Here is a 22944-nt window from a genome sequence, read left to right as displayed (position 1 = left end):
CATTGCGCCGGGCGCCCATCAATCAGCCCCGCCGCTGCCAGTCCTCGGGCGGCTCCCCGCGCCGCTGCCATTGCAGCTCCGTGCCGGGGGCGCCAGCACCGGCCTCGCAGCTCCCTCGCCCGGCCGGGGAGGTAAACAAAGTGAAATATCCTTCCGCGGCCCGGGGCCCCGGGCGCAGCACCCTGGGTGTCGGCTGCGAGCCGGCTGCGAGCCCAGCTGCGGGCGGCTGGGCCGGGGTTACCAGCAGCGACTCCCGAGCCGTTCCCCACACGCTGCTCCCGCAGCGCCCGCTCCAGCTCTTCGTAGCTCGTTCATGTTCCTGGCGCTTTTCCCCAGAAAGCCAGGCACGCTCTGAGCATTGGGCCCCCAGGCTCAGATGTGGCCCTGAATGAGGAGCTCTGTTTTGGAAGAATGCGCTTTCATCGGTATTGCTGCCTGGAGTTTCGAGAATTCGTTTCATGGTATCTCTCCGACATCCTCCTCTCCATTTAAAAGGAAATCCATTGCTTCCTTTTAGTTGGTGTCACCGCTTGCCCCCGATCCCCACATCCTGGGCTTGTATTTCTAGTGTTTTCAGCAGAAGAGGAACTGAAGGCATCTTTTGATTCAGGTCAAATTTAATCACTAATTCTTCCCTTCCCAGTGCATTGCCTGGAGGGCCTTGGAGGCCAAGCTAGACAAAACTTTGCACCCACACCTCCAGGGAGCGCTGTTGGGTCCTATCCAGGGTGCTGGGCGTCCTGAGTCCTCTTCTGTTAGCCAGGTGAAGGCTGCAGTTTCACGCCCCACTCCACCCCCCATTTCGCCACCCCCCCCGAATTATTCGTAACTTCCTTGGGAGATTCCAGTCCGCGGGCTTGGACAGGAACACCGGAAGCAAGGGGCTTGAACTCAGGCAGAGGCTTCAAACGCCAGCCTTGATCTAAGATATCCTGGTGAATGAGAAGCGATCTAGTAGAGGACAAACTTAAAAAAAAAAATCCCAAGGAACTGAGAAAGGGGAGTTGGGACGACTCCTGGAGCCCTCTGAGCTTTTGCATGCGTGTAGTATATTTTCCACTGGAGGAGGGGACTAAATTATTGTCCACTGTAGGACACTTTCAGTAAAAGAAGGGAGCTATTTATAATTATGTCCACTTGGGACAACAGTCACTCTAATGATCAGGAGTCCTGGGAATGTGGCCAGAGATGGAGAGGACATTGACTATAAAGCTTCCACCCAGCAGCACAGAGTTAAAAGGAAGGTTAAGAAGTGGACCCGTGCCTTCCAGCACCTCTCACCATCCTACTCCCCACAAACCTGCCTAGGATTCAGTCCCAGATCCCAGCAGAATAGATCTATTTCCCTAGGCGATCACCAGGACCACTGACCGAGCAGGGTCCCCTAATCCAGTCTTACCCCAGGAAGACACTTGGCCTGTGTTAGGAACAGTCTCGAAGCAACCCCTGCTGTTGAGTCAGAAAGAGAGGTGCCTAGCCTCCTCTATGCAGTGGCCAAGAGAGCTTTGTAATAATTAGGGGTTGGGACACCTGTGTGCTAGCCCTGGCTGGGTCTCTGATTTCAAATGGAAATTGGGTGAAGACCTTGTTTTTTCTCCCTAGATCCCTGTTTCTTCATCTGTAAGATGAGAAGCATAATACCCGCCCTGCTCACCTCATGTGGTTGCTTTAGAATTATATTTTCAATTCCAGGAAATCTATGAAGGCTTACTATAAGCCGGGCTCTGTGCTGAGTGTTAGGGATCCAATATGAGTAAGATCTGGTCTCTGCCACCCAAGAGCGCAGGGTCTAGCCCGGCAGAAAGACTGGGAAACAAATAATGTCATTGTGTAACAATGTGGCAATTAGAATATCAAGGCCTCAAGGGAGCATGGAGGAGGGAATGACTTTTCCTGAACGTCAGGGAGTTTTCCCAGAAAATGTGATTTTTATTACCTTGAACTAATCCAGAGCAAATATTTATTGAAACCTACTATGTGCCAGACACTGGATATGAAGATACAATGATTTGAAAAATATATTTCCTGTCTTCATGGACCTTGAAATAGCCCTATGAGTCATAAAATAAAATGAATAAGAGATTGTTGTTGGCATTTCAGGCAGAGGGAAGGAATGTGGAAAAGCAAGGGAGTGGGATGTTCTGAAATTTCTAGTAATGCACCATGTTCCAGCAGTGGCAGCTGGGAGCAGTGGCCAGGCATGTGGCTGGCAAAGTGGACTGATTGGGATTAGATCGGGAAGGGGTTGATAGACACAACTAGCAACAGTGGTCTTCCTAGTAGAGGAGATGGCGAAGCACGGCTGACATTGGGAAGTGACACGGTCGTTTGTGGGATTTAGATCCTGCTGCAGATCACAGGGAGTAGATACTACTGGGCTTCCAAGGAAAGAGAGAGCAGAAATAGTATAAACCTCTAGTGATGCTGTACAGGATTAATAGTGAATTTATGACTTGTGATGAAATTACACAGTGGCCATTCTCCTGCCTGTCCTTGAAGGCCAAATTCATGGCTTAGTGCTATGTTTGTTGATTAAATTCACGGAGCTATTGCAGTGCAGGATAAATTAGATAATTTGTATCAAGTGCCTTAAATATTTGTTATGTCTGTTAACTCGGTAATTCTTAGCAAATTGGAAAAGAAAAAAGCATGTAGTAGGAAGATCTGGGTGGGGATCTTTATTCATTCACTTTTTAGCCATATGACTTTGGTCAAGTTTGGAATATTTTAATCTATAAAGTGAAATTACAATAGAAATTTTGTCTTAATGTATAGCAATTATGGAAGATGTGTATAAAGCATCTGGCACAATGTCTTGCCTATAATAAAAACTCAAGGCCGGGTGTGGTGGCTCACACCTGTAATCCCAGCACTTTGGGAGGCCAAAGCGAGCCGATCACGAGGTCAAGAGATCGAGACCATCCTGGCCAACATTGTGAAACCGCGTCACTACTAAAAATACAAAAATTAGCTGGGCATGGTGGCACATGCCTATAGTCCCGGCTACTTGGGAGGCTGAGGCTAGAGAATTGCTTGAACTTGGGAGGTGGAGGTTGCAGTGAGCCGAGATCACGCCACTGCACTCCAGCCTGGCAACAGAGCAAGACTCCATCTCAAAAAAAAAAAAAGCAGCCGTTACTATTTTACTATTGTTGTTGTTGGAATTCATCCACAGAAAGCAATCTAACATGAAGTAATAGTAATAGATAACATGTTTACAGTATTGGCAAGGTGTGTGGGAGTTGTTAAACATAGTTATAAGAATGGTCCTATACAGTATGCAACAATAATAAAATATGTGGCAATTAAAAAAGGATTATATAATTACAAGGGGATATATTTAAACCAGTCTACTCTGCAGTAGGACAAATCCAGTTGTCTTGGGTCAGTAACATGTTGTGCATGTTTTCTAGAACATTCTTTATTCTGCAATATATTTAGCTGCTCCTTCACTCACTCATTCACTTTATTGCTCATTAGTTCATTCATTTACAAACACACAGTGGGCCTCTGCTAAATGTGAAGCCCTAAACTAAGTGCTGTGTGTGTTGATCAAATAATAATAAATGCTTTTGGAGAAGAAACCATAAGACTACTATATCACTTTAAGGCCTTTACCATATGTGACAACATTTCCCGTGTTTCAACTCGGGCAGCAAGTCATGTGTAGGCTCAAAACTATTTGATAAACTTCTAGTTTAAGTTGTAGAGAGTTTCACGTCATGCTGATGTGCACGCAGACTGTGGCCTGCTGAACTCCAGAACATTCCATTCTCACTGACAGCTCTGTGAATGAAACCCTGAAGTTGTGCAAAATGCAGTTGTCCTGGTCTGTTTGGGCTGCTATAATAAAATATACGCTGGTGGCACATAAACAACAGAAATGTATTTCTCACAGTTCTAGAAGCTGGAAAGTCCAAGTCGAGGCATCGGCCCGTTTTGTGTCTGGTAAGGGCCAGAGTCCTGGTTCATAGATGGCACCTTCATACTGTTCTCACGTGGTGGAAGTGGCAGGACAGCTCTCTGGGGTCTCTTTTATAAGGACACTAACCTTATTCTTGAGGTCTCTGCCCTCATGACCTATCACCTCACAAAGACCTCATGTCCTAATACAATCACGTTGGTGATTATGTTTCAACATGTGAATCTGGGGGGACACAAGCATTCTGACCAAGCAGCTGTTAGAGCCTTAGACATAAACCCATTGGCCTGAAATTCAGGAACTTCCCAACAACTTCGTCTCTCACTTTTGGTTACCTACCGGCCAGCTGCTCATCACCCCATGGACTCCAGGCTCCTACTTTTGTGTTTATGACTTGGATCATTTCCTCCTGCGTATTTGGTGCCTCCATGTTTCCCTGGAATCTTTTCCAGGATGTTCCCTTCACCTGGCTGCACTCCCTCAGTTCAAGGTTACATTCCCCAGTTCTCTTATTTGGCTATGTGGATGTGTCAGGTTTTAAATGACATGTTCAAAATCCAGGTGACATGGTTGTGCTTGGACAATAATGAAGAGGTTTGTGGTGTTAATGCCTGAGCTCCAATCTAGATACTCCTGATGATGGAATCTACAGATTGCCTAGTGTCAGTCAGTAAAGGTAGCCAAGAAGATAAGTGCTCCCACTTACTGCTTCATGCAAGATTTAACCAATCCATGAATGGGAAACCCAATCAGGATACATCCTGCTCTGTAATGTTTTAGAAGGTGCCATATCTTAAACTGAGTCCTTCACCATTGCCTTAGTTCTACTGTTAGTGTTACATTACTTTGCATTCAATTTCATACTCCCTTGCTGCCTTCCTTGAATGTTCTGCTAACTTATGAAGAGGTTCTGTCATCCATTTGTGTAGGTAGAGAAGAAGGAAGAGGTTCAGGGAAGAGGTGCACACCTTCATAGCTGCAGCCACTGGTCCACGTGATCCACATGATCCTTTGCTTTGAAGATAGTCATGCTGCCTAGCTGCATTTCGGTGGTGATGGAGTCAGTGACTTGCTGCTATGCTTTGGCTCGTGTTGACTGTGTTAACTCCTTGTCATAAATTGCCCCATCACTTTGAGAATATTCTCTGTTACTAACTTTAATAATAGTTGTATTTTAATTATGCCTTTTGAATGCTAGACCAGCTACTTTCTTTCTCTCTAGTTCTTATACAACCCTTTGAATTATTACTCCATTTTATGGATTGAGGAAACAGGACCCAGAGAGACTAATTAATTTATTCCATGGTAGCCCATTACTCAGTGGCCCTGGAGGTCATGTGTATGTGCATGTGTGTGTATGTGCATGTGTGTGTATGTGCATGTGTGTGTATGTGCATGTGTGTGTATGTGCATGTGTGTGTATGTGTATGTGTGTATTGAGAAGAAAGGGGGCAGGAGAAAAGTTTATTCTGAAACTATATGATTATTTTTTACTATATCACATTACTTGTCATTAGGCTTTCTAGAGTTGACTGAACCTTTGGATTGAATGGCCCACGTAAAATCCTTCCATAATGGTGATTTCCATTCTCAATTTTTTTAACAGCTCGTGTTGGAGAAGCAGCTGCTTATTTACAAGGTATTTTTTAGTAGTACCTATTAAAAGGTCACCTTTTAGATGTCACCTTTTTATGCAGATGTACTTCCCTGTTTTGCAGTGGTTGATGTTGTATTTACATGCAATTCTACTCACAGGGCCCCAATGCATGATCCAATCATTGTCTTCGATTTAGAATGCTATTTGGACACAGTAGGTCATAGAGGAGGAAAAGGGACACAAGGAGAAAGTGCAGGGGAGACAATAGGGAGTGGCAGGAAGGAGAACTGTATCATACAAAAATTGCAGGACTTTCCACTTGAGTGACCTATGCCTTTTTGCTTGTTTGTTTGCTCACTTGCTTACTTTACCATGGCTAGGCTGGGGATGTGTTTTTGTCTCTGGATAAATTGTCCACTGGGAAAAGACCAGGGTATAAATACAGAAGAAATAGTAATATTAGCACCACTTCTTTCTAGGCCCTGGTTTTGTAACTCTTCTTCTCATACAGGAAAATAGCTCTTGTGTGCTCACAAGTGAAATGAGATACAAGAAAATTTTGTTGTTGTTCTTAGAGTAGGGTGGGAAACCCAACATATGGGAATTTTCTGAGTGTTGCAAATTGCCTACCGTCCTGTTAAGTATTGCTGAGCAGCTAATAAAAAAAGTAAAAACAGGTAAAATGAAGCAGCTAGTCCAGGAAGTGCTACAAATTTACATATTATGTAGAGTGCTAGGTTACTGTAAATGATTCCATTTGAAGGGTGTTCTGGTAAATCTAGTGCGCGTTCCCACACCTAGCACACAGACCTCAAAGGAGCAGACAGACCTGGGTCCAGACCACCCCTGGTTTCACAAGCTTCAGAGGCCTTGAATGGTATTTAACTTCCCTGACCATCGTTGCTCTTGGATGGAATGGAGATAATAATACCTTCCTTATGAAGAAAATAGGCAAAATCAAATTATCACTTAAGATTCCCTTCAGCTTTTACAATATAACCTTTAGTGTGGGAAAATCAGGCATGTAACAAGTAGACCAATATCTGAACACCGATGCATTGAGATTCCATCCAATTTGGGCACCAAATCAATCATCAACTTGGCCTTGGATGACCCTGAGAACTCAGATTAAGGTTGAAGAGAATTAATATGTGTACCAGGCTTGCCAATTTAACAAACACCCTTATGCATTTTGTCTTATTTAATCCAAACAACAACTCCTTAAAAGAGGTTTTGTTATTAGCCTCAGTAGAAGAAACCTGCGTCTCAAGGAATTTACTAGCCCGTGAACACAAACCTGGTCATTCTAGTGGAAAATCCTGCAATCTTTGTATGATACAGTTCTCCTTCCTGCCACTCCCTGTTCTCTCCCCCTGCACTTTCTCCTTTTGTCCCCTTTGCTCCACTTTTTATTACCTTCTGTGTCCAAATAGCATTCTAAATCTAAGACAATTTTTGGATCATGCATCAGGGCCCTGTGCATGGAATTTGATGTGAATGCAACATTAGCCATCGCTAAACAGGAAAGCATGTCTGAACAAAAAGGTGACATCTGTAGGATAGTGGTTTCTGATTTGTGAGTCCTGGATCCTCAGGTGGACTGTAGTAGAGCAAGTGTAGCATGGAGTCTCAGCTCTATGTAAAGTAATCTACTCAGTAGACTATGGATGGAATAAACAATCTGGCTCACCCATATCTCCACATTCTCATTACAAATATTTACACCTGCTTTTGTGGTTAATAAAATACAAAAATGTAGACAAATAACAGATTTCATATTTTTTCATTTAGGCAGTTAAAAACTATAATTTCTATACTCTGGACAATATGAAATTTGATATCATTCAAATTTCACATGATTCAATAAAAGAGCTTACTAACAAATGTGAGTTAGACAGGATTTTGACTCCAGGAAGTAAACAGCTTTCTAAATGGCACAGCTGCTCAGTGACTCCAAGGTGTGATCTCTGACAGACCCTGGGGAAACCACATCTAGAAAAAAGCTGAATGCAAAAGTCAACCAACTATCATTAAATAGGCCAAGCATTTGCCTGAGTACTTCCTCTGAAGTTCAGTAGCTGTATGGCCTTAGGTAAACTCTATAATATCCTTAAATCTTACTTTTGGCTTCTTTAAAATGACACAATAATAGTACAGACCTCATAGAGTGATTGTCAGGTTTAGATGGTCCACAGGTAAAGTGCTCACTTTCTGTCTGGTTGGCAGTGAGTGTAGGCTCTTACCACCACCACGGCCAATATTAATATAAACACATTAGTTAAACTTCTCTTTCTCCTCCTGTGATGGTTAATACTAGATGCCAACTTGATTAGTTTGAAGGATGCCTAGATAACTGGAAAAGTATTGTTTTGGGGTGTGTCTGTGAGGGTGCCAGAGGAGATTAACATTTGAGTCAGTGGACTGAGAGAGGAAGACCCACACTCTATGTACGTGGGCACCATCCAATTGGCTGCCAGCCCCGCGTGGCTAAAACAAAGCAGACAGAATAAGGTGGAATAAGCTGGTTTTCTGAGTCTTCCGTCCTTCATCATTCTCTCGTGCTAGATGCTTCCTGCCCTTGGACATCAGACTGCAGGTTCTTCAACCTTTGGACTCTTGGACTTGCACCAGTGGTTTGCCAGGGGCTCTCGGGCCTTTGGCCACAGACTGAAGGCTTCCCTACTTCTGAGGCTTTTGGACTCAGACTGAGCCACCACTGGTTTCCTACCTCCTCAGCTTGCCGAGGATCTATCATGGGACTTCCTTTACCTTGTGATAGTGTGAGTCAATTCTCCTTAATAAACTCCCTTTCATATATACATATATCCTATTATTAATAGTTCTGTCATTCTGGAGAATCCTAATTAACACCTCCCCTCTCCTCTCTCTTTCTCCCCTTGCCTCTTTCTCCTCACTGAGCCTGTGCAAGGCAAGAAAGTTAAGGATGTGCTATGATCTCGTGTCTTCTGGCTGCTCTCAGCCTGATGGGAGAGGCACAAACCTCAACATACGGGTATGACATACAGAAGGCATGGCAAGGATTCTCAGCCAGAAAATGGGGATTCATCAGGGCCTGGCAGAGCCTCTCTTCCAGGCCAGCCCCACGTGCTGCTAACATGTTCCTTTTCTCTAAGTTCACTAAAATTCCTCAGGGAAACAGACAAAGCACACATAAGACTGGGAAAACATCCCATTGTAGGAAGCTCATCTCCCTTCCAACCAGGGACCCTTGCTAGGTCATCTCAGACAAAAAAAAAAAAAAGAAAAAAGTTTTACCCTGATGCTATAAGAAAAGCCCTACGTCCCCAGATGATGAGAGAATCATTCTGCATTGCAGACCAAAGTGTTCCATCCACAGCCTGCCAGCATCTGGGGTACAGGGACTCTTGGAGTTTGTGATATTATGAAAGAATCCTGGTTAGCTTTGTGCTCGGGCCAAAGGAGGCTTTCTTGATTAGTTAGGTATCCAGGATCCCAACTAGGGTATGGAGAGCCAGGCACTTGTCTCAGGTGCAAAAATTGAAAGGGGGAGCTAAAAAAAAATCAGTAATCAAGACAAATATTTTCATACAATATTTTAAAAAATAAATATTAAGGCAAAAAACTCTGATGAAAAACCCATCAAGATTTTAAATAAATAGAGTGAATCAGTATGATGGATTTAACTTTTGCCACAGGCTCCAAATATCTGGCCTGGCCATCTTATTGATTCCATCTCACTCCCTAGGGAGGAGCAAAGAAGGAAGGTTCCAGGAGGTAATACATTTTTCTACATTAAGTTTATGACAAGCACTTTGCAACCACTACCTCATATCTTCCTTTTGGTAACGGTGAAATACAGGGAGGATTAACCCCATTTTATAGACAAGAAAAACTGAGATTCAACAAGAACGAGTTACTTTTGTTGGGTAGAGACAAAATTGAAATTCAGATGTGTCTGAGCCCATGGCCTATAGCAAACTTGTCCAACTCGTGGCCCATGGGCTGCATGCGGCCCAGGATGGCTTTGAATGAAACCCAACACAAATTTGTAAACTTCCTTAAAATATTATGAAACCTTTTTTAAAAAGCTCATCAGCTATCATTAGTTTAGTATGTTTTATGTGTGGCCCAAGACAATTCGTTTCCCAGTGTGGCCTAGGGAAGCCAAAAGATTGGATACCTCTGGCCTATAGCTTTGTCATGCTATTGTGGACCTACTTAGTCGACTACACTACTTGGCTCAGTCTTGTCAATGACAGGACTATTCTGCTTCTGCTGCCGTAATAACATGGCACAGCCTGGGGGCTTAAAGAGAAATGTATTTTCTCACAGTTCTTAAGGCCGGAAGTCCAAGGTCAAGGTTTCAGCAGGTTTGGTTTCTCCTGAGGCCTCTGTTCTTCGCTTACAGATGGCTGCCTCCTTGCTAGGTCCTCTTAGGGTCTTTTTCTCAGTGCCTGAGCATCCCTGGTATTTCTTCCTCCTGTTGTGGGGACACCAGTCCTATTGGATTAGGAACCACCCTTACGATCTATTTTAACCTTACTTGCCTCCTTATAGGGCTCTATCTCCGAAAATATAATCATATTGGGGGTTAGGGTTTTGTGATAAGAATTTGTGGTGGGTCACAGTTCAGTCCATAACAAACAGTTACTCTGCTTTGGGACTCTGTTACTATAGACATCACAGGGGCTGTGTGTATCATTGCCCTCAGAATTGATAATCGAGTTGAGGTACATAATATTTGCATAAAGTAATTCTACTGCAAAGCCAACAGTAGATACTACAATTAATTATCAAATATAAAATAAATGAAGGCAGGGAATGTTATTTGCCATTTTATCCTTGAGAATACCCCTTGGCACAGAGTAGGGCATATATGTGTGTGTGTGTGTGTGTGTGTGTGCATATGTGTGTGTGTATATGTGTGTGTGTATATATGTGTGTGTGTATATATATGAATACATATAATATATATGTATTCATATATATATATTCTTCTTCCATATATATATATATTCTTCTATATATATACATATATATTTTCTTCTATATATATACATATATATATTCTATATATATACATATATATTCTATATATATACATATATATATTCTATATATATACATATATATATTCTATATATATACATATATATATATTCTTCTATATATATACATATATATATATATTCTTCTATATATATACATATATATATATGGAAAATTCAGAGAAGAAGAAGAATCTTGCCAGCCAGGAAAACAAGGAAGGAACACTTTTGAACTGGCCTTGAAATTTGAGTAGACTATCAGCAGGTCAAGATAGAAGAGTGTTTCTAAGAGAAGATAGTGCGCCAAGCCCTGGAGGCAGGAAGACACAGGTCTGCTGAGATAAGAAACAGCAGTTAGGTCTGTCTGAGGTAGAGACAGAAGCTGCAGAGAACAAACACAAGGCTGTAGTCAGACCATGAAAACATGTAGTTATTGAAATAAAACCCTAGGACTTCACTCCTCTAGCCAGATGCTCCCGTGGCTTCTAGATGAAAGATCCTTATGAGCCAGAAATCACATGGGGTGGTAGAAAGTGCAGTAGACTGGAAGCTGAGCTAGTTGAATTGTATTCTTCTTTTATACACTTGTATTAGTTATGTATTGCTACATAACATGTTATCCCCCAAAACTTAGTGGCTTAAAAAAAATCATCATCTCTCTGGGTCAGGAATCCAGTCATAGCTTAGCTAAGTCTTTTGCCTCAGAATCATTCACAAGCATGTAATCAAGGTGTAGGCCAGGCCCGTGCTCTCATCTGAAGGCTCAACAGGGGAAGGATCTGCTTCCAAGGTCACTCATATAGTTACTAGCAGGATTCAGATTCTTGAAAGTTGTTGAACTGATGGTTTCATTTTCTCCTTGGATGTTGGCTGAAAACCACTCTCAGTTCCTGACCACATGGGCCTCTCCATAGGTCAGCCCACACATGGCAGCTTGCTTTATCCAGGGCAAATGTGAGAAGAACCAGAGACAGAGTATAAACCAAATAGAAGCCACACCCTCTTCTAGGCTAATTTTGGGGTAGAGATTATTGTGTTTAACAGGAAGGAGGCAGAAGCTAAAAGCTACTGATATACACTGAGACACTTGATATCTCTCTAATACTGTGAAGATTCTTCCCTCTGGCATAGTGGTTCCGTGGTTGGGTAGTGGGCTGACTCTGCCTCTCTGCCCCTCACCATCTTAGTCTACCACCTCATAACATCCAAGTATTTCCCTAGACTCTAAGAATGGGCAGAAAATTTCCTACTGTGGAGACAAGAGGCCTTTGAGACCTAGAGCCTGTCTTATTTCCCTCTATACTCACAGTGCTTAGGATGGTGATAGGCACATGGTGGTTGTCATCACTGTTTGTTAGATAAATCAATATGTAGCATTCTTTTACATGCCTGGCACTAGGGACAGAGCCTGAGCTTTTTACTGGGGCAGAGAATCCTGGGATTTACACAGGGGCCTCTGCTTTTTTGTGCCCAACAAGGACCCTCCATCTGTGCCTATGTACAGGGGGCTGCATCTTGCCATGGAGTCTTGAAATGCTTGTTGGATGTTTCAAAATGATAACTTTTAAGCTCACATTTCACAACTAAAATGATTCCATTGTGTTCTGAAAAATCTTTTTAATTGAATGTTCTCTTTGTCAACCCAATAAACTGCTAGTTTTGCAATAAGATTCCCCTGGCACCTTTCCTGGAAGGTTCACTGTGAGAAATTCACTCACATAACAATATAGTAGCAAAATCCTGTCAGCTAAGTTCTGTGGATTGATCACCTTCTGTATGCCAAGCACTGTGCTAGGTGCTGGACACAGGACAGTGGGTCATATAGGAACTCACAGAAGAAGGACAGAAGCCTCTTTTATGCTGCACTATTTTTTTTTACTGGAGATTTTTTCTTTTGTTTCCTATCACAGGAATCAACAAGACTTTCTTACACACACAGCGTGACCATAAGTGGAGAGAGAAATGTGCCAGAGTAAAGACAGCCATACATACTTGACACTTCTCCCATTAAAAAGTGGAGTCTATTTCCTTCCACTTGAATCTGCACTGACCTGAGACTGCTTGGACCCATAGGAAATGGCAGATATGACATATGGCCAGTCCCAGGCTTTGCCTTGGAGAGACCTAGAAACTTCTACCATAGTCTCTTGAAGCTTCGAGGTGGCAGGAAATAAATCCAACCAGCTACCTGGCCGGAGAAATCAGCAGGAAAGGCCCCAAGAATATGTGAAGAAGGAGATGGGCCTGGTAGAGCCCAGGCTTCCAACCAACTGACAAGACTCCAGGCATGGTAATAAAACCATCTCGATACTTCTAGCAGCAGCAGCAGCAGCAACCAACAGAACATCACTAAGTGACCCCAGTTGTGCCATCTGCCCCAGTTCCTGCTGCACAAAACCATGATATAAAGAAGTGGGTTATTTTACATCAGTAAGTATTGGGTTAGTTTTATACTCAGTAATAAATCAAGGGAGCATTTTACAACAGTTTCCCAGAAGATGGGCACAATAGTGGCCCCACAGGGTGGGGTGAGAAGAGTTGCTGAAGCCTTAGCATGAGACTCTCCCAGAAATCCCTTTTTTTTGATTTTCAGAAAGCCCTGATGCTACAGTAATAATAGCTAATATTTCTTAATTGCTATAAATATGGCCTTATTTCCTGCCACTTTGGGACATGCATTATACTCACTAGTAACTGATGCTTATGCCCCTGGCTGCTGGGAATAAATATTCTTATAGCCGCTATAAATCTTGCTGATCATTCAAGATTCCTCTTGGGTACTGGCAACTTCAGGAACTTTCATGTTGACCTAAGAGTCTCTCTACTTTTCATAACTCTATCTTAGCCAAGTTGTATTTTGTTGAAATTATCTCTGTTATCTCCACAAGTTTCTATTTTCCACTGGTAAGATGGTTGAAGATACAGATTGCATCTTCCTCATGGTTGCATGTATGTACAATTTTAACAGAATCTGCACATTGTAAATGACCAACCTAGCATTTGCATATTGTATTACAGTTTATAAAGGGTTTTCATGATTATCCCTCTTGAACAGTTGAATTGAGGCTCAGGGAGGAAAACGACTTTCTTAAAATCCCTGGGTCACAGGGGCTCCTCACTCAGAGGCTTGCTAATTTTCTCCCCCACATACTGAGGATATGGAGAACTTCTTAGTGGGAGGGAGAGAGCTGAAGCCCTATCCTCCCCATGGATACATATCCTTTGTTTTCAGTGTCTGGGAAATGCCCCAGGATTCCCTGCTGCGTTACCCTGGGAGACTATTGCTCAATCCCAGCAGCTGCTCTGGAGGAAGGAAAAAGCAGACATTCTGAATGTATCATACATACAATGCAATATTGAATTGGAGGTTGCTAATGAGCGAGAACTCTTTTATTGTGTAGTCTACTTCCAGTGAGGTCTAGCTCTTAATTTTCAGTGGGCGTAGCAGGAAGTACTAGTGTAAAAAATAAAACATATATATTACTAATACTGTTGCTATATAAAACAATATTTGGCCAAGATGGTTAAGATATGATTCAGTCCTTGTTCATCAAGTTGCTAAATATTATTCAGTGAGTGGAGTCACCATATGGCATAACTGAATTTTCTTGGGAGACTGGGTAAAATATTGTGTTGGATATAGAATTTGGAATTGTGCATGTCTCTGGTGGATAGAGTCTAGATCAAGCTGCAGACTGCTAATCCCATTAATCCCTCAGGCAAAGACTCTAATGCACGTGGCAAATGGAAATGGCTTAGCCCTGCATGTAGCACTCCACGAGGGCGAGTTTCTTCTCAGAAACTGAGGAAGGGTGGGCAGAACCACACATCTAGACAGATGCAATCTTTAAAGAAAAGTGTGTGTGGGCAAGTACAGTACCAGCTGGGAAAATCTAAATGACTGAAACCTATGACTCAGAAATCTTAAATTGCCTTAAAATTAATGAAGCTCTGTGGGGATGACTCAGTTCATTCATGTCCTTAGCTTGCAGGCTCGAAAGCTTGCAGAAGGAGCTGTTGTCTAAAGTTTGGAAGATCAGACTCCACAGAAGGAATGGGTCACATCCTTGGGGGTGGTCTGGGGTGCATGTGCTGGAGAGCCAGGTGAGCTGGTTTGCATCCTTCCCAGGGACCGAGTGACTTCTGGCAAGTGAAACCTCTGAGCCCTAGTTTCCATTCCTGTAAAATAAGAAACAGAGATTGAATTTCTAACTTCATCAGCTCTGATATTCTGATTACTCAAAGTCCCAGCAAGAAACAGAATTTGCCCTGGGTGGTTTCGATGAAGAGATTTTAATAAAGGGACTCCACAGATGTGTGTGCTAGTTAAGAGAACAAACAAGGAAGAGGAAGGCACCCAGAGATGAGTAAAAGCTTCTGCTATTACCATCTCCATGGTCAAGACACCCAGGAAAAATGGTGTTACTGGAACCCAATGAGAACCAGATCTCTGGTGGAGAGCCATCCTCTACCCGACCCCCGACCCCGGAAGGAGCCATCTTCCTGGGAGGAGGAAGCCCCTGCCAGAAACACAGTCTTAAGCAAGAAGGGAGCCAGGAAGAAGTGACCTGAAGCTTAACGTATTTCCCTAGTGCTGCTCTTTGGATGAGTCCAACTGGACGCCATTCAGGAAGGGAAGAAAGCTGTCCACAGGAGTTGGCCTCATGTGGCACAGAGAAGAGCAAAGAAGAAGGGTAGAGAGTGGGATCTAGAGTGGGTGAAAACAGAAAAACCAGCACACGTTTTATGCTTTTATAAATTTCATTTCTGAGTTAGGGAAAAAAGCACAATAAATATTTTCTCTGGAATAGCTGAAGAATGACTCTCAACTAACAGAGTTTCTGAGTGTAAGGACAAGGTTTTGCTTACTTCTTTAACCCATCAAAATCTAGCATGATGTTGGTGCTATGGTAAATAATCAGGGAATATTTATTGAATTAGAGGCTGGTCACAAATAAACGTTTATAAACATCTGCATGTGTATAGAGCATGATGCATGGTACATGTGAAGTGAAAATCTGTTGAACAAATAATGTGTAAGATTCAAAACAAACTATGTAAATCTTTCAAATGAAAACTTCTGTAAACCTCAGACAAATACTTGGCATTTTAGTTCTAGGAGTCATTTTGAATGTGATTTATAGTTGTCATTGCACAATGTGTAAATTTCTTGGACTATGAAAATGGGGTCTAAAATGTGAAGTAATAAATAAGCAAGGAGGGACTTAAAAGAGACATTTTCTACCTATTGTTACTGTTCAGAAATTATACAAGCAGGAGTGCTCACAAAAGTAGAATGTTCAGCATATTCAGACATACATGAAATCACCTCTGACATGTGGATGTACTAACAGAGGGATGCTATTTACAGTCAGGCAGGCCAGGAATGCACACCTAGCTATAGGATCTCTCAGTATTCTGACTTGAGACAAGTACTTGAACCTGTGAACCTCAGTTTCCTTTTAATCCCTGCCTCAGGATCCATGTGAGGGCTGAATGAGATGATATGTGTCACATTCCTAGTAAAGAGCCTGGCATGTCATAGATGTCCATCACTTTGTTCCATCTTTCTTGTGGGGTCACTGATTTTCTTGGAGTTGACATAAGGTGTAAGACCAAGGGGTCACTGATTTTCTTGGAGTTTATATAAGGGGTAAGACAAAGGGGTCATTGATTTTCTCAGAATTGATGTAAGGTGTAAAAACAGTCACTTCTTTTGCTAGAGGGGATTCTCTGCATGACAGAAGCACAAGAAATGGTGAAAGTTACAGAACACATCCAAACTATCATTATGTTTCATGTGTAGGAACTGATGTTCACCTGTGTTGCCTTAGCATGTGGAGGAGCACCGTATGTATGTGTCACTAATTCTTCTCTTCAGTATTCACCTAGCTCATATGACAGGCAGTGCTGTTTGTATAAGCTGCAGCCATTCTCCCATCTACGAATGGTCAAAGCCAATTCTCTCTATAGAAGCTGAAATGCCAGATACTTATGTTTCCAGCCTTCCATGCAAATAAGCAAGGCAATATGATACAATCCTGGCCAATGGAACTTAGGGAAATTCTATCTGGGAAACGTTGGGGTAAGATTTTCCTCTCCAGTAGAAGTGAGGGGTTCGTGGGGAGAAGCCCATTCCTGCTCTGTATATTATCATGGAGGCTATGATGCCTAAGGCTTTGGCAGCATCTTGAGACCACAAAGGGAAGCCAGGAGAACTGAAGAGATGTTGCCCAGAGATCTAGTGTAATTGAGGTGCGAAATACCAGATTCCTATCTCGAGAATTTTTGTGTTTAGAGACTCATTTACAAACACTGATTGTTTAGGCCACATGTAGACATGTATTCTGTTACGTGCAGCTGAAAGCATGCCAACTAAAAACCTATTTTCAGATTTCTTCTGGGGAAATAATTGAGTTCTTATGTTTCTGACTCTTCTCTCCAGCAGGTCATTAAAAGCCTAGAGTCCAGAAACTTCGTTAGACATTTTGAATTCCTCCATCCATTTACTTATTCATCCATTCAATCATTCATTATTTATTCAATCAATTCAATATGTATTCATCCAGTATGTGCCAATTCTTTTTTCCACTAATTGACTTTTGTGAGCTTTTAGAATCCTGCTCTAGCATCATGACCTTGAGGAAGTCTTCCTGGACGCCCACTTTCAGCTAAACAACCTTTCTCTGTGCATACTTAACAGTCACACGTAACATCTTTGGGGGGACCTCTCATGTTATATTGAAATAATTTACCTGTATATCTTTCCAACCACAGTGTACTTTTTTTAAATGCAGAGACTAATTAGTAGTCCACTTCCCTCCTTCCTTCCTTCCTTCCTTCCCCTTCTCCTTTTTCTCCCCCTTCTCCTTCTCCTGATCCTCCTCTTCTTCCTTAAGTTTGCATTATAGCAAACTTCTTAGCTATCAATGAGTATTCAAAACTCTTTGTAGACCAGACAGAATTAACGGACAGAGACTATGCCTTTTAGCTTTGCAATCCTAGTGCATGACCCAGAGAAAGTGCTTTGTAAGTGTTTGCTGAATAAAAAATAATTGTAATTCAGGAGAATATATTTTATTGAAATGACCAACTGGACCTAAGAATCATTTTGGAAATGGGTCAGTGCCATCTTATGTAGCATTAGGTAATAGTGGTGTATCACAAATATGTATTAAATAAATAATTTATGCCCATATTGCATCCAGAATTTCAAATGTAAAATTTTGTGTGGTGTGAAGTATGGCTCCATCCTGATTTTTTTTCCAAATTGGCTACTTAATATCTCTGCCTTATTTTGTGAATATTCCCTCCCTGACATTTTGAAATATCAACTTCATCATATACAAAGTAGTCATAATAAGTGGGTAATTTTTTGGAATCTTCAGTTGCCTTTCAGTTGCCTTGCAGCTCACACAGTATCTATAACTGTGTATACATTTGTCTTCCTTTTATTTTAGATCTTTTTCAATAATTTTTAGACATTTAACTATCCAGATAAACTTTGGGCTCAAATGTTAAGCTTCATAAATATCTCAAAATTCTCTCTTAAAGTTGAGGTAATATTTATAGATTATGCCATGCAATATGGCACAGCAAATAAAAGCACTGTTTTGCAGTCCACTGCCCAGAACTAAAATAATGACTTTATAACTTTTTAGCCTATGATTTTTGCCTAGTCAATGAATCAGTTTCTTCATATGCAAAAATGAAAATAATATCTATGCATAGAGTTGCTAGTTAGATTAAAATAAGGAAATTCATATAAAATATTGATCCTAGTGTCTGGCACAAGGAAAGTATGTAACAGGGATAATTAGATATTTAATGTCCCAGCATTATTCTAGTAACTTTTCACAATCACATCAGACTTGGGTAGAGAAGAGAAGTGTTTATCTTGACTTTTCCATTCAGTTGTTTTCAGGAGTAAAACTTGGAAAATGTAGCTCATTTTATTTATTTGTCTATATATATATAAGGAGAATTATAACATTGGTCTGTCCTACTCACAGGTGACTTAAAAAATCCAAGGAAGTGATAGATGTAGAAATGTTTTCTCCAATGAAAAGGATCACAACTGTATGAAAACAGTAATTACAATGCTCACAACTGTTGAGATTGTACCTAGAAGGTCAAGTCTTGAGGGTTGCATGAAGGAATTGCTACTGGATTTTGATCTTTAAATGGCCCTCTTTAGTTGCAATATATTTGGGATTATAGAATATAAAACACCTTTGGAATATGTATGTTTTATAACTAGGAAATATGTCTTAGGATCCAAAGACAGACATAACTTATGCATTGCCACATTAAATTGACCTCAGCATCCTCATCTGCGGTATTTTTTAAAAGGTATTAACCTTGAAGCATTAATGGTTAAATCTCCAATAAAGATGCAAATGATTAATAGAACAATGCAGTAGGGAAGTTTTCTTTTGCTGTACATGACTCACCATTTATGGGAAAGACTTTGTAACATGTTTACCTGCTGGGGACTAGTCAGATTCACCTTGAACAATGAGGAAATATCAAAATCCCTTGTGTTTGTGCCAGAAAATAAGCATATCATTATCTAAAACTCTTTGTGACCATTTCGCTCTGACATTCTATCACTGCATTCTGTAGCAAAGACCCTGAAACATGTCACTTTTCTGTAGACCAGTGTGACAGAATTTGAACAGGCCTGACACAAGTGTTGTGACTTGTGATATGGTTTTCTGGTTAGCTGGTAGCTAGCACATAGGTAATGATATGGCTTTAAAGTTAGATTTTTAAAACTACTTTTGATTTGTGACCATGAAAGAGCAACTCGTTTTCAGCCAGCTTTTTGAAATTTTTTGCTAGTTAATCTAAAGGAGGTTACTCTTAATTAAATGTGAATAGTGATTTTTAAGGGCACTTAACGACGTGTAAGTAGCACCTAGTAAGCACATCAAAATCCTACACTGTCACAAGTTGCCATCGCAGATACTTACTCAGAACTTTCTTAACCCAAATATTGGACTTTTTAAGAGTTGAGGATCAAGGGCAATTCGGGAGGGGAGTGACATTTGTATAAAAAGAATTGACATTACATATTTTTTAGAAATATGTATTTATTGAATGACAAATTAATTTTATAATATTGGTGGACCTATAAAATAGTTCTATTCAAACCTATTTTCAAAAGTAAAATTCTTTTTAAAATTTGAAAAATTTCAAACAAATCTGTATCTGAACAAATGTCGACCCTTCTTTATATTGAATATCTGAACCATAAAAGTTAGTCTAACCTGAATAATTAGTTTTGGATTATATTTATCTACTTTGAACAATTTCTTAGCCATTTGTGTCTTCAAAACCATGCCATAGTATCTTTCTGAAATTTAAAAAATATGGTCTTATCTTTAATTTTAATAAATTGTCTCTAATCCTCTTCCAAGTTTCATTGTAAAGTTATAATTTTGAAATTTGACACATTCAACTGACACATTTCTATAGACCCTATTTTTTAAATTGTGAAAACATTCTCTATGGCTGCTGAAGTATTTGGTAGGATTAGAACAAATTCTACTGGCAGAAGATACTCTTAATAATTTTCTTCATACTGAAAAGTGTACATATTTCACATCAAATAGTGTCCCAGTTCCTATCTTTGCTTCCATTCATAGCACCTTTCCTCCTTCAATCTTTTATTAGAACTTGTACGTCATTTACATTTTTCTCATCATTCAGGTCTTTCCTTTCTCTTGCAGGGACAAAGGTGAATGTCCTGTTATTTGCAAGCTTTTTTTTTTTTTAATAATTACAACTTGTTAAGAGCTTCAAAAGCTGCAGGGTTTTTTGTTGTTTATTTTTGGGCAGAGGGCGCACTCCACTTGCTACCTTGATTAAAGATTCCCAACCAATTCTGAATAAAATATGAGCAAATTTAGAGACCTGTTTACAAAAAGTTTAATGGCATTGCAGGGCACTTAGATTGATGTGCAGAATAGTTCTGAATAAATCAAAAATTTCTAAAATCTGATCAGAGAAGAACAAAGAATGTAGACACACACACACACACACACACACACACACACTGATTATAAAAATATTCAACATTAGCTTTGTCAAAAATTTTGTAATTTAGTTACTTAAGATGTTTATATGTATATCTGTATGTTTTGACAATGACGGATTTTATTTTGATTGGCAGATTATTTCAGCTTCTCTGAATTTTATTGTTAATTTTGTTTATCTCACAAGAAATTCCAAGGACAGTCTGTTCCATAGATTTCTTAATTTTGTATTTACATTACATCACAAACACATAATTTGATCTTTGATATTGAACTTTTAATTGAATTTTCAATTCATTTTAACATTCAATTAGGTTTACTTTGATTCCATAAAATGGAAAAACAAAAATTTATTATTGAAATTAATCTGACTTCCTATTTTTAGGATTTTTTAATGAAACTGAAATTATTTAACTCTTTATGAATTTCTTCTGCTAGTAAAACCAACATATTAATAATTATAGTTTTACACTTGGTACAGGTTCAAAAATACTTAATTTTAAAAGTGAGTACAATTAATTTAAGGAATAATTTGATCTAACTGCAAAGTCATGCTCTGTAGAGTGATTGTAATCTCACTGTCTACCACATCATATGTTAAATCATACTTGGCAGGCACTTCCTTAAAATAATTTTGAAATAGATACTGATGTTTCTTCAGCACAGTTGATCTTTCAGTTTCCCTGTGGTTACTAATATTACAACAACATGTATGGTAAAAGAAAGCATTGAGGAGTATTTTTTGCCACGTCATGATTCATTTTCTTGAAAAACAGAAATTTACACTTTTCATTAATTAACTATACTTTTTGGTTTTTGATGTTAATATGATTAATAGCAAAAGAAAACTGTTATCAAATAAAATCTTTAAAAAAAATCTGTAGAGTTGCATTACATAATAAATGGCATCTTTTTTTTTTTTTTTTTTACATACTTTGTATATATTTAACCTCTATTTTACTTGTTTTCTACACACTTCATCTGACTTGTGACCTAGGAACTTTGTGAAACTTTCAAGCTTCACTATGGCCCTGGCCCAGTGGGTAGTATACCAGATGACTGGCAGCAGCAGCTCAAATACTTCCCTCACTGCTACTCAAGACTGGGAAGAGTTAGTTCTCACTATGTGCTAGTGTTTGAGCACATTTTGTTTTATTTGCAAGTATCCTACATACTTTCATTTGAAAGAGAAGTGTTGGTTACAGTTTGTCTGGAAAGGGTCAAGAAAAGAGATGTTATTTTTGGTCATCTTTCAGATTTAATCATAGGTTGAAGTGGGGTCTCTTGACTGCACTCATTTCAACTTCACTAGATAGATCATAAAGGAAGTTTTAAGTGCCAAGTGAAGGTCTACCAAATCCAACTTAATTCATTTCAATGCATCAAATAATTATTACTCTGTCTAAATAAAATAGATAATGGACAATGTAAAATAGATGAGACACAAAACAATAGGTTTAAACTAGGTCTGTGCTGAGTAAACTGTGATACATGGTTACAATACATACAGAGATGCTAGTTAATATCACAAAATTACTGCTTCACAAACCACTGCAAAACTCAATGGACTAACCCAATAGTCATTCCTTCTCCTGGCTCTGTGGTTCAGCTGAGGGTCCCATTTTGCTGTATTTTGCATGCTATTTCAAGTTCCCTTGGGTCAACTCACCATGGCTGGACTCTGATCTGTGTGTCTCTAATCCTCTCCTGGGATCAGCAGGCCAGCCTGGGTGAGTTTTTCTCAAGGCAATAACAAGCAGAAGAGAGCAAGCCCAAAACTGCACCTGCTTCTCAAGCCCATGTAATATTTTATGTCACATCTAACATCTCATTGGCCGAAGCAAGGCACATGACTAATTCCAGAATCAAGGGGTAGAAAATTAGTCCACTGATATGAGTAGGGGGAAAAAAGTTAATATTTTTGAACAGTAACCGAAACTACTACATAGGGAATTTTCAAGGAGCCCCAATTAAGAGTTTTACCATTTCATTTTGTGGATTTTTCTGATGCACTATCTTTTTGTGATATGCTTTACAACATATCTATAAATATATTTCTGATTTAATCCTTAAAGTTCTATGAGATGGGCATGTTATTATTTCCAATTTACAAATAAACTGAAACTTGGAGAACTGAACTCTTGACCACAGAGCTAATGGATGACAGACAAAATTCCGCAGGTGTGAATGACCTCTCGGCCTCTCCTCTTAACTCTTTTGCTAAAATGCTTTACCAAATTATTTGGCACTAAGAAAATGATTTCCTGACTGTTGCTAGAGGCCCTGCTAGCAGCTTGGAACACATAATCATTCTCATCTAGCAGAATATAATTATTGGTATAATTCTGAGCTACT

The 22944-nt window shown here is 40.1% G+C and overlaps 1 long non-coding RNA gene across 2 annotated transcripts, besides 2 other annotated features; it reads left to right on the top strand.

The window, feature by feature from the left end:
- LOC124905974 (uncharacterized) lies at nucleotides 67-18961 on the top strand. 2 transcript variants are annotated; one of them, XR_007086221.1, is made up of 2 exons: nucleotides 67-610; nucleotides 12460-18961. It is a non-coding gene; the product is annotated as an uncharacterized LOC124905974 (long non-coding RNA). The 2 variants fall into 2 exon arrangements; XR_007086222.1 differs by having other exon boundaries at nucleotides 67-8299.
- Nucleotides 82-301: a silencer, noted in NCBI's record as "silent region_11182". NCBI's record gives its function as "represses an Ori minimal core promoter by ATAC-STARR-seq in GM12878 lymphoblastoid cells {active_cell/tissue: GM12878}" and the evidence as "EXISTENCE:reporter gene assay evidence [ECO:0000049][PMID:35858748]".
- Nucleotides 10671-11150: a transcriptional cis regulatory region, noted in NCBI's record as "candidate enhancer chr2.599 targeted for multiplex CRISPR interference". NCBI's record gives its function as "positively regulates TRIB2 gene expression with high confidence in K562 cells {active_cell/tissue: K562}" and the evidence as "EXISTENCE:mutant phenotype evidence [ECO:0000015][PMID:30612741]".
- Nucleotides 18962-22944: the final 3983 nt, after the last annotated feature.

This window comes from Homo sapiens, chromosome 2, assembly GCF_000001405.40.
Source record: "Homo sapiens chromosome 2, GRCh38.p14 Primary Assembly".
Taxonomy (NCBI): domain Eukaryota; kingdom Metazoa; phylum Chordata; class Mammalia; order Primates; family Hominidae; genus Homo; species Homo sapiens.
The sequence above is the reverse complement of the archived record's forward strand: the minus strand, read 5'-3'. Positions and strand labels throughout refer to the sequence as shown.